This window comes from Homo sapiens, chromosome 6 (assembly GCF_000001405.40).
Source record: "Homo sapiens chromosome 6, GRCh38.p14 Primary Assembly".
Taxonomy (NCBI): domain Eukaryota; kingdom Metazoa; phylum Chordata; class Mammalia; order Primates; family Hominidae; genus Homo; species Homo sapiens.
In genome coordinates this window covers 162,989,287-163,001,742 of record NC_000006.12, presented here as the reverse complement: position 1 = coordinate 163,001,742, position 12,456 = coordinate 162,989,287, and the positions used below count along the sequence as shown (strand labels likewise).

The 12,456-nt window shown below is 40.4% G+C and overlaps 1 protein-coding gene across 21 annotated transcripts in view, besides 1 other annotated feature; it reads right to left on the bottom strand.

The window, feature by feature from the left end:
- The window catches only part of PACRG (parkin coregulated), a 588,369-nt gene that overhangs the window by 313,758 nt on the left and 262,155 nt on the right, over positions 1–12,456 (bottom strand). Inside the window, exons 1-2 of one of the 21 annotated variants that reach the window (XM_017010282.3) lie at positions 4,422–4,640; positions 4,199–4,337 (exon numbers count right to left, since the gene is read on the bottom strand). The exons of 19 other annotated variants lie outside the window; for them this stretch is intronic. The gene's annotated coding sequence lies outside the window, so the exon portion shown is untranslated. Of the gene's footprint in view, positions 1–4,198; positions 4,641–12,456 lie in introns of those variants that run through there. One more of the 21 variants, XM_017010281.3, reaches the window with a different exon arrangement.
- Positions 6,298–6,935: an enhancer, noted in NCBI's record as "OCT4-NANOG-H3K27ac-H3K4me1 hESC enhancer chr6:163415840-163416477 (GRCh37/hg19 assembly coordinates)". NCBI's record gives its function as "activates a minimal SCP1, AML or CMV promoter by ChIP-STARR-seq in primed H9 embryonic stem cells {active_cell/tissue: H9 hESC(primed)}" and the evidence as "EXISTENCE:reporter gene assay evidence [ECO:0000049][PMID:30033119]".

Sequence of the window (12,456 nt, the reverse complement as noted above, 5' to 3'; positions counted from 1 at the left end):
CTACAGCTTAAGCCCCAAAACCCACAAACAAGATCATATAATGAAATCAAATTCCACCAAGAACCAAATAGAGTGAAGACAATTCCCTAAAGTAACAATTATACCGTATAAATGAGAAAGGATATCATGTTCTTAGAAAAGCTGCTATTTCCAGTGTACAAGATAGAGACTTGAGTCATATCAGAAGTTACCCACAGAGACCTGTGGTTTTCTCTTTCTCTGTTCTCTTTGATTTGGCCTGAAGGCTTTCAAACCTATTCTGCTTTCTGTTTACCGGCTGCCACTCCCACTTCATTATAAAAAACTCTTGGCTCACCCTGGTTCTTATGGGACGTTCTCTGGAGCTAGGACTGGGAGATACATAAATATGAAAGTTGTGTGTACAGTGGAGAGAGCAGGTTTATTGGATCCTAGAGCACTGATCTCCCCGTGGCCAGTAGCACCACTCAAAAGCTCTTTGGAGAATTGTGGTGTCTGCTATTCTCCTCCTGGAGACCCATTTCCTCCTTGTTCAGATTTCATTAACTCTTTGGACAGTGCATCAAATAGGTTATTGAACAGTTCACAACCCACCCATTTCAGAGTCTTCAGCTTACACTGCAGCATACAAAGGACTCAGCTGTGTGGTTGTGCCAAGGTCCTTGGGAGCCATGCACACCTGTAACCCATCCCCAAGGCCTCGCAAGTGCCACCACCTCTGCAGACAGGGCTCTTTCGGCCTTCCCGGGGCAGACTCTTGCCTCTCCTTCAAAATCATGGCCATCAGCTTCTCAGGAGGTTTTTGCCTCAGCAGCTATCTGAGGCTGGGCTAAGAGCTCCCTAAGTGTTTCAGGAGCCCCTACTATTCAGGCCTGCCTTGGCTCATAGGTAATTTCACATTTTCCTAATTCTCTCCTCTCTAAACCATAAACTCCCCAAGGGTAGAGACTGCATCTTTCATTGTTGTGTCTTCCTTTTCTAACACAGAGCCTGCAGCATAGGAGTGTTCAATATCAAGCCTCAGATAGATAAATGCTGTGTACTGTGATATGAAATGACGATCACGTGAATTTCCATTTGTTGAGTTCCTGCTGGGCCATGTGTGTCATCCCCAGTCCTCATGGCACCCTGCGATGTACCCATTTTACACATGAAGCAAGTTAAGATGCATGCCCAAGGCCACACAGGGAGAGAATGCCAGAGCTACAGTTTAAATCCAGATCAGTTTCTCTGCAAAGGCTCCCAACATGATGCTATAAGGATGCCACCACACTCTCTTCTGTTTGGAGCGACAGGGACCCCTTTGGACCACACAGGACCCACTGGTATGGGGAGTGTGATGGGAGTGCAATGGGGGTTCCCTCACTCGAAAGCCCAGGAAGTGATCTCCAACAGTGTTCTCAGAGGGTGACTTCTGGGCAAGTCTGTCCAGCGCGAAAACAGAAAATGCAGCAAGAAGTTTTTGACCCTCCGAGTACCCTGCACCACAACCTGCGGGAGGGCACTATCTCAGGGACTAGGCACTGCCCACTGACAGATGAAGCCTGATTGCATTTAGAGACTGTCCTCCAGGTCTTCAAGAGGGAGGAAAAGTGAATCTGGCCTGGATGGCCTAGACTAAAATGACTCAGTTGACTGCTACCTCGGATGTGTAACCCAGGACAAGGATCTTAATGATCAGACTAATCTACAGAGAACCCTGCTGATGGCTCACTCTTTTGCAATCCATTGAAACGAATCCAACCATAGGATGTTACAAGTACATCCAGTTGGAGGTTTCTGGTACAATTACAAACTGTAAAATTATTACCATTGTAGGCATTTGTGTTTGTAATTATGTTTCATAATTAATGTTCCAAAGTAATATGTTAGGTTCTCACCTCCATTTGCAGTTTTCTAAATGAAGGATTTCACACTAAAGACTGCAAAATACCAGGCGCAGGCCATGAATCACCAGGATTAATGATATTTCACTCGGAAATTTTGAAAGGCTGAGGCTAAAGTAAAACTCACAAGAAAATGAGTCATGTATAGTGGATTAGACCTTGCCTGGGAAGAACAGACTTCATGTAATAAATATAATTTTTATAATTAAAATGTTTTACTATGTAGAATGCTAATCCCCTTTAAGAAAGGAATTCTATGTGTCACTAAAATGTTAAGGAAATACATAGAAGGCCAAGCCAGTCTTGTTTCTGAATTTTTTGTGTGTGTTTAATCCAATTTAAATTGGTTGAGGGTCTGAAGAGTTAGGTGGGCAGCAACTATCCAATCTTGTATTGAGCTTCTACTAAGAGCAGGGCTCTGGCATACATCTGTCTAATGCAGGCTATGATTAAGGTACCTAAAACTCACAGGCCAGTAAACAACTTGCACATAACAGGTGCTGAAAAATGTCTGCTGAATTAGCAAAGGTAAGTTAAATAAATTGTACCATTCTATACACTCAGTGAGGACCAGAGCTAGGATTTGCATTCTGAAACGTAATAGTTCTAATGAGAGGAACGAAGATGCCCTGACTGCTTCCTACCAATAAGAATGGGGCTTCCAGCAATCTCTTGATATCCTCTTATTTATGTTTATTTCTGCCCATAATTATTTGGGTATTTCTAGTCATAATGTTTTTGGACTCATTGCACAAGTAATTTAAAATGTCACTTTTTTTTCATATTCTTTCTGCCAATATGAATGTCTGTCCAGTAGGGAATAGTGCAAGTTCTTTCCTATTCAGGTGTGAGAAACAGCAGACTGGTGCTGTGACTGCTGGCCATGCCCTGCAGAAGGAATACAAAGTACAGTTGGCAGCCAGGTCGATGGAAATTCCCACATCTAGGGCTTTGTCCACTAAGGAAAGAGTGATCACTCAATAAGAGGGGTTGTGATAACTGGCTAAACATTTTTGAAGAAAAGGGTTAGATTCCCTAATTGACTTCACATGTCAGAATCAATTCTAAATGACATTTGGTATCATATAACATATAGGATGGAAATACAAATAATAAAAACATTTTTAATGTAATCTTGGGGTAAGAGGGATCTTTCTAAGCATGCTTCTAGAGCAGAAATAATAAAGTCAAAGTGGTCAGATTTGACTATGAAATTGTACTGCATATAAAAATATACCCACAATATGAGAGAAAACATTTCATATGCTTAACAAAGAATGAATTCTCATAAAGAAAAGAACACCATGCTAGAGGGAAGAATGGACAAAGACTTCTACGTTCATCAACATGACATACTGAGTAGTTTACAAGCAACTTCTCTCTTAAAATTTTTGTTAAAGATGCAGAAACATTGCAGAACAAAATAACAAATACCTGCTCACATTAATCCTTTAAAAAGTAAGGGCCAGAAAGGAAGAGGAAGCAGGAAAGTCATGCCAGGTGATGGAGACCATGGGCCTCCTGAAGGCTTTCTCAGTCCTGGAGATCCTGAGTTGCATACGGCATGAGGACTGGAGACAAGTCCTCAGATCCACATCAAGTACGAAGTTGGAGTTAAGATTCCTGCTTAAAGCTAGGACTCCTAGAGGACAGCACCCTTCAGGAAAAGGTGGGTTAGAAAATCGTTCACCTGGGTGGGAGGTTGCAATAATGTTAGTAACAACATTGACAGCCTGCCCCTATTATGACGCACTACCAGCGGAACAGAGTTCCATGTGCTCCATATATTAACCCATTTCATCTTCACAATTCTTTACGGTAGGTACTATTATTATCCCAATCTAACTCCTGAGAAAACTAAAGCCAGAGAGGCTAAGTAACTTGTTTAAGGACATACTGTTATGACGTGTACAATTCAGGCAGTCTGGCTCTGAGAAAGGAGGGAGTGTATCTCCTGGCAAGGAATTAGCATCCAGACTACAAAAAGAACTCCTCCAAGTCAATAAGAAAAAGATAAACAACTCAAGAGAAATTGGGCATAATATTCAGGCATTTCACTGAAGAGAAGACATATAGTGTCAAGTTAATATAGCAAAAGATGTCCAATGTTACAAACACAGATTAAAAGTCTGACAATGTCAAGTATTGGCTAGCAGGAGGAACATGGGAACTCCCATTCCTGGCTGATTAGAATGGAAACTGAAATCACCACTTTGAAGAATAATCTAGTGAGTTTATCTGAAGGTCTCTCTTCTTTACCACTGCGTTGCTTTCAAGACCTATGTCAAATTGTCACCTCTTTTATGAAGTCTGTTATGAATCCTTGGGCCCACCTTGACATTGAATTTTTCCAATTTCCAGCATTATTCTGCTATTCATTGGAAGACATGATTCGCTGCCGTCTGTCAGTAGTTTTCATCTGTTACTTAAGGGCCAAGGTGATGTGGTTTTGTAATTTTTCATTCCTAGAATCTAAGAAGGAGGTAAATAAGTGTTGCTGGTTTGACTACAAAAAGGACTAATATAAGCAAATAAACCATACTTTGGCTTTCTTACTTTTTCATTAGCATATGTCAGATGCATTCCGACAATCCAATTATAGTCAGCACAACATATCTTAGGGCAAACAAATCTTTAGGGTTTTTGCCTTATGTAGATTTGCTCTATATTTTCTTGAAATTAAAATTGAGCATGACATATTTTCTGAAGAAAAGTAAGAAAATGGATTACTGTACATTAATGTCAAGTTTTATCTTTATCAAACCAATTTTAAACACTATGTTCATTCATTGAACATCACAAAATGACAAAGGCCTAAGGCTCTAATTGACTTTTGGTAAACAAATGACTGAATCATTAAAATGTTTTAGTTTATCTTATAAAATCTAGTACTAAACAGTTATTAAGAGAGACAACATAATGTCTCCCTGGAGTTTAATGACTACCCATGACTTATGCCACTATAGGATTCTCCAGTCTACATTTTAACCCTGATTACTTAGCATATATTCTTTCTATTTTTCTAAAAAACTCTAGTTTTAAGAGTAATGTGTGCTCTTGGTAGAAAAGAATTTGAAAAACAAGAGAAGAAAGAGTAGAGTGCCCATAATGTTACTAACAAGAGTTGAGACAGTTACTGTTAATACTTTGAAATGTGATTAGTCTAGACTTATTTATATAATATTGTATAAGGCCAAAGTCTTACTGTGTGTATAAATTCCACATGCTATTTTTAAAATTTGGCATGAGTACTTCATTTTGTTAATATATTATTTTAAATTGTTATATAATATTCCATTGAATGGATTCATCATAATTTAATTAGCCATTCCCCTAGTTTGGTGGAATGTTTCATTTTTCTCAGTTTCTGTTTTCTCTAGCTCTAACCTAGAGCATCTTTGTGTATAATGGTTTTGGGGGGGTCTATTTTGGATCAAAGCACAAACGAATTTTCTATATTTGATTTGAAGGATGTGAACATATTACTAAATTACTTTTATCACCTCCATTATGGGACTTGAAAGTGATGATTTTATTGTATTTTTGCCAGTAATGACCCCTTTTTAAATAACAGCTTTAAGATATCATTGACACATAAACATTGTATATATTTAGGGTATACAGCTTAATGTCTTGATATATGTGTACACTGTGAAATGATCACCACAATCAACCTAATAAACATGTCCATTATCTCACATAATTATCTCTGTGCATGTGTGTGGTGTGTGTGTGCATGCACACACACGAGTGGTGAGAAGATTTAATTTATTCTCTTAGCAAATTACAAGTATACAAATATGAAGTATTGTAACTACCATCACCATACTGTATATTAGATCTCCAGAAATTATTCTTCTTGCATAGCTAAAACTTTGTACCCTTTGACCAACATCACATGATCCAGCAATCAATCCCAATTCTGGGTATATATTCAAAGGAATTGAAATCAGGATCACGAAGAGATATCTATCCTCCCATGTTCATTGTGGCATTATTCACAATAGCCAAGATATGGAAACAATTTAAATGTCTTTCAACAAATGGATGGGTAAAGAATATGTAGTATATACACACAACAGGATATTACTCAGGCTTAAAAATAAGGAAGTACTAGGAGCCAAGATGGCCGAATAGGAACAGCTCCGGTCTACAGCTCCCAGCGTGAGCGACGCAGAAGACGGGTGATTTCTGCATTTCCATCGGAGGTACCGGGTTCATCTCACTAGGGAGTGCCAGACAGTGGGCGCAGGCCAGTGGGTGCACGCACCAGGCGCGAGCCGAAGCAGGGCAAGGCATTGCCTCACGTGGGAAGCGCAAGGGGTCAGGGAGTTCGCTTTCTGAGTCAAAGAAAGGGGTGACGGACGCACCTGGAAAATCGGGTCACTCCCACCCGAATACTGCGCTTTTCAGACCGGCTTAAAAAACGGCGCACCACGAGACTATATCCCACACCTGGCTCTGAGGGTCCTACGCCCATGGAATCTCGCTGATTGCTAGCACAGCAGTCTGAGATCAAACTGCAAGGCGGCAGCGAGGCTGGGGGAGGGGCGCCCGCCATTGCCCAGGCTTGCTTAGGTAAACAAAGCAGCCGGGAAGCTCGAACTGGGTGGAGCCCACCACAGCTCAAGGAGGCCTGCCTGCCTCTGTAGGCTCCACCTCTGGGGGCAGGGCACAGACAAACAAAAAGACAGCAGTAACCTCTGCAGACTTAAATGTCCCTGTCTGACAGCTTTGAAGAGAGCAGTGGTTCTCCCAGCACGCAGCTGGAGATCTGAGAACGGGCGGACTGCCTCCTCAAGTGGGTCCCTGACCCCTGACCCCTGAGCAGCCTAACTGGGAGGCACCCCCCAGCAGGGGCACACTGACACCTCACTCGGCAGGGTATTCCAACAGACCTGCAGCTGAGGGTGCTGTCTGTTAGAAGGAAAACTAACAAACAGAAAGGACATCCACACCGAAAACCCATCTGTACATCACCATCATCAAAGACCAAAAGTAGATAAAACCACAAAGATGGGGAAAAAACAGAACAGAAAAACGGGAAACTCTAAAACGCAGAGCGCCTCTCCTCCTCCAAAGGAACGCAGTTCCTTACCAGCAACGGAACAAAGCTGGATGGAGAATGACTTTGACGAGCTGAGAGAAGAAGGCTTCAGACGATCAAATTACTCTGAGCTACGGGAGGACATTCAAACTAAAGGCAAAGAAGTTGAAAACTTTGAAAAAAATTTAGAAGAATGTATAACTAGAATAACCAATACAGAGAAGTGCTTAAAGGAGCTGATGGAGCTAAAACCAAGGCTCGAGAACTACGTGAAGAATGCAGAAGCCTCAAGAGCCGATGCGATCAACTGGAAGAAAGGGTATCAGCAATGGAAGATGAAATGAATGAAATGAAGCGAGAAGGGAAGGTTAGAGAAAAAAGAATAAAAAGAAATGAGCAAAGCCTCCAAGAAATATGGGACTATGTGAAAAGACCAAATCTACGTCTGATTGGTGTACCTGAAAGTGATGCGGAGAATGGAACCAAGTTGGAAAACACTCTACAGGATATTATCCAGGAGAACTTTCCCAATCTAGCAAGGCAGGCCAACGTTCAGATTCAGGAAATACAGAGAACGCCACAAAGATACTCCTCGAGAAGAGCAACTCCAAGACACATAATTGTCAGATTCACCAAAGTTGAAATGAAGGAAAAAATGTTAAGGGCAGCCAGAGAGAAAGGTCGGGTTACCCTCAAAGGGAAGCCCATCAGACTAACAGCGGATCTCTCGGCAGAAACACTACAAGCCAGAAGAGAGTGGGGGCCAATATTCAACATTCTTAAAGAAAAGAATTTTCAACCCAGAATTTCATATCCAGCCAAACTAAGCTTCATAAGTGAAGGAGAAATAAAATACTTTACAGACAAGCAAATGCTGAGAGATTTTGTCACCACCAGGCCTGCCCTAAAAGAGCTCCTGAAGGAAGCGCTAAACATGGAAAGGAACAACCGGTACCAGCTGCTGCAAAATCATGCCAAAATGTAAAGACCATCGAGACTAGGAAGAAACTGCATCAACTAACGAGCAAAATCACCAGCTAACATCATAATGACAGGATCAAATTCACACATAACAATATTAACTTTAAGTGTAAATGGACTAAATGCTCCAATTAAAAGACACAGACTGGCAAGTTGGATAAAGAGTCAAGACCCATCAGTGTGCTGTATTCAGGAAACCCATCTCACGTGCAGAGACACACATAGGCTCAAAATAAAAGGATGGAGGAAGATCTACCAAGCAAATGGAAAACAAAAAAAGGCAGGGGTTGCAATCCTAGTCTCTGATAAAACAGACTTTAAACCAACAAAGATCAAAAGAGACAAAGAAGGCCATTACATAATGGTAAAGGGATCAATTCAACCAGAGGAGCTAACTATCCTAAATATATATGCACCCAATACAGGAGCACCCAGATTCATAAAGCAAGTCCTGAGTGACCTACAAAGAGACTTAGACTCCCACACATTAATAATGGGAGACTTTAACACCCCACTGTCAACATTAGACAGATCAATGAGACAGAAAGTCAACAAGGATACCCAGGAATTGAACTCAGCTCTGTACCAAGTGGACCTAATAGACATCTACAGAACTCTCCACCCCAAATCAACAGAATATACATTCTTTTCAGCACCACACCACACCTATTCTAAAATTGACCACATACTTGGAAGTAAAGCTCTCCTCAGCAAATGTAAAAGAACAGAAATTATAACAAACTATCTCTCAGACCACAGTGCAATCAAACTAGAACTCAGGATTAAGAATCTCACTCAAAGCCGCTCAACTACATGGAAACTGAACAACCTGCTCCTGAATGACTACTGGGTACATAACGAAATGAAGGCAGAAATAAAGATGTTCTTTGAAACCAACGAGAACAGAGACACAACATACCAGAATCTCTGGGACGCACTCAAAGCAGTGTGTAGAGGGAAATTTATAGCACTGAATGCCCACAAGAGAAAGCAGGAAAGATCCAAAATTGACACCCTAACATCACAATTAAAAGAACTAGAAAAGCAAGAGCAAACACATTCAAAAGCTAGCAGAAGGCAAGAAATAACTAAAATCAGAGCAGAACTGAAGGAAATAGAGACACAAAAAACCCTTCAAAAAATCAATGAATCCAGGAGCTGGTTTTTTGAAAGGATCAACAAAATTGATAGACCGCTAGCAAGACTAATAAAGAAAAAAAGAGAGAAGAATCAAATAGACACAATAAAAAATGATAAAGGGGATATCACCACTGATCCCACAGAAATACAAACTACCATCAGAGAATACTACAAACACCTCTATGCAAATAAACTAGAAAATCTAGAAGAAATGGATACATTCCTCGACACATACACTCTCCCAAGATTAAACCAGGAAGAAGTTGAATCTCTGAATAGACCAATAACAGGAGCTGAAATTGGGGCAATAATCAATAGTTTACCAACCAAAAAGAGTCCAGGACCAGATGGATTCACAGCCGAATTCTACCAGAGGTACAAGGAGGAACTGGTACCATTCCTTCTGAAACTATTCCAATCAATAGAAAAAGAGGGAATCCTCCCTAACTCATTTTATGAGGCCAGCATCATTCTGATACCAAAGCCGGGCAGAGACACAACCAAAAAAGAGAATTTTAGACCAATATCCTTGATGAACATTGATGCAAAAATCCTCAATAAAATACTGGCAAACCGAATCCAGCAGCACCTCAAAAAGCTTATCCACCATGATCAAGTGGGCTTCATCCCTGGGATGAAAGGCTGGTTCAATATACGCAAATCAATAAATGTAATCCAGCATATAAACAGAGCCAAAGACAAAAACCACATGATTATCTCAATAGATGCAGAAAAGGCCTTTGACAAAATTCAACAACCCTTCATGCTAAAAACTCTCAATAAATTAGGTATTGATGGGACATATTTCAAAATAATAAGAGCTATCTATGACAAACCCACAGCCAATATCATACTGAATGGGCAAAAACTGGAAGCATTCCCTTTGAAAACTGGCACAAGACAGGGATGCCCTCTCTCACCACGCCTATTCAACATAGTGTTGGAAGTTCTGGCCAGGGCAATCAGGCAGGAGAAGGAAATAAAGGGTATTCAATTAGGAAAAGAGGAAGTCAAATTGTCCCTGTTTGCAGACGACATGATTGTTTATCTAGAAAACCCCATCGTCTCAGCCCAAAATCTCCTTAAGCTGATAAGCAACTTCAGCAAAGTCTCAGGATACAAAATCAATGTACAAAAATCACAAGCATTCTTATACACCAGCAACAGACAAACAGAGAGCCAAATCATGAGTGAACTCCCATTCACAATTGCTTCAAAGAGAATAAAATACCTAGGAATCCAACTTACAAGGGATGTGAAGGACCTCTTCAAGGAGAACTACAAACCACTGCTCAAGGAAATAAAAGAGGATACAAACAAATGGAAGAACATTCCATGCTCATGGGTAGGAAGAATCAATATCGTGAAAATGGCCATACTGCCCAAGGTAATTTACAGATTCAATGCCATCCCCATCAAGCTACCAATGACTTTCTTCACAGAATTGGAAAAAACTACTTTAAAGTTCATATGGAACCAAAAAAGAGCCCGCATCGCCAAGTCAATCCTAAGCCAAAAGAACAAAGCTGGAGGCATCACACTACCTGACTTCAAACTATACTACAAGGCTACAGTAACCAAAACAGCATGGTACTGGTACCAAAACAGAGATATAGATCAATGGAACAGAACAGAGCCCTCAGAAATAACGCCGCATACCTACAACTATCTGATCTTTGACAAACCTGAGAAAAACAAGCAATGGGGAAAGGATTCCCTATTTAATAAATGGTGCTGGGAAAACTGGCTAGCCATATGTAGAAAGCTGAAACTGGATCCCTTCCTTACACCTTATACAAAAATCAATTCAAGATGGATTAAAGATTTAAACGTTAGACCTAAAACCATAAAAACCCTAGAAGAAAACCTAGGCATTACCATTCAGGACATAGGCATGGGCAAGGACTTCATGTCCAAAACACCAAAAGCAATGGCAAGGAAAGCCAAAATTGACAAATGGGATCTAATTAAACTAAAGAGCTTCTGCACAGCAAAAGAAACTACCATCAGAGTGAACAGGCAACCTACAACATGGGAGAAAATTTTCGCAACCTACTCATCTGACAAAGGGCTAATATCCAGAATCTACAATGAACTCAAACAAATTTACAAGAAAAAAACAAACAACCCCATCAAAAAGTGGGCAAAGGACATGAACAGACACTTCTCAAAAGAAGACATTTATGCAGCCAAAAAACACATGAAAAAATGCTCATCATCACTGGCCATCAGAGAAATGCAAATCAAAACCACTCTGAGATATCATCTCACACCAGTTAGAATGGCAATCATTAAAAAGTCAGGAAACAACAGGTGCTGGAGAGGATGTGGAGAAATAGGAACACTTTTACACTGTTGGTGGGATTGTAAACTAGTTCAACCATTGTGGAAGTCAGTGTGGCGATTCTCAGGGATCTAGAACTAGAAATACCATTTGACCCAGCCATCCCATTACTGGGTATATACCCAAATGACTATAAATCATGCTGCTATAAAGACACATGCACACGTATGTTTATTGCAGCATTATTCACAATAGCAAAGACTTGGAACCAACCCAAATGTCCAACAATGATAGGCTGGATTAAGAAAATGTGGCACATATACACCATGGAATACTATGCAGCCATAAAAAATGATGAGTTCATGTCCTTTGTAGGGACATGGATGAAATTGGAAATCATCATTCTCAGTAAACTATCGCAAGAACAAAAAACCAAACACCGCATATTCTCACTCATAGGTGGGAATTGAACAATGAGATCACATGGACACATGAAGGGGAACATCACACTCTGGGGACTGTGGTGGGGTCGGGGGAGCGGGGAGGGATAGCATTGGGAGATATACCTAAGGCTAGATGACGAGTTAGTGGGTGCAGCGCACCAGCATGGCACATGTATACATATGTAACTAACCTGCACAATGTGCACATGTACCCTAAAACTTAAAGTATAATAAAAAAAAAGAAAAGAAAAAAAAAAAAAGGAAGTACTGAACACAGTCAGCCCTCCATATCTGCGGGTTTTCAATCTGTGGATTCAATCCAAGGATTGAAAATATTCATAAAAATGGATTTGTTGTGTCTGTACTGAATATGAACAGACATTTTTTTGGTTATGATTTCCTAAACAACACAATGTAACAAATATTTGCATAGCATTTACATTGTATTAGGTATTATAAGTAATCTCAAGATGGTTTAAAGTATACAGGAGGATGTGTGTAGGTTATATGCAAATACTATGTCATTTCATGTCAGGTACTTGAGCATCCATGGTTTTTGGCATCTGAAAGGGGTCCTGGAACAAACCTTCCACCACTACTGAGGCATGACCGTACTTTTATCTCCATCTGCCATTATGATACATCTGTCAGGTATCCTCAGGATCCTTCCAAATAAACACATTCAATATCAAACTT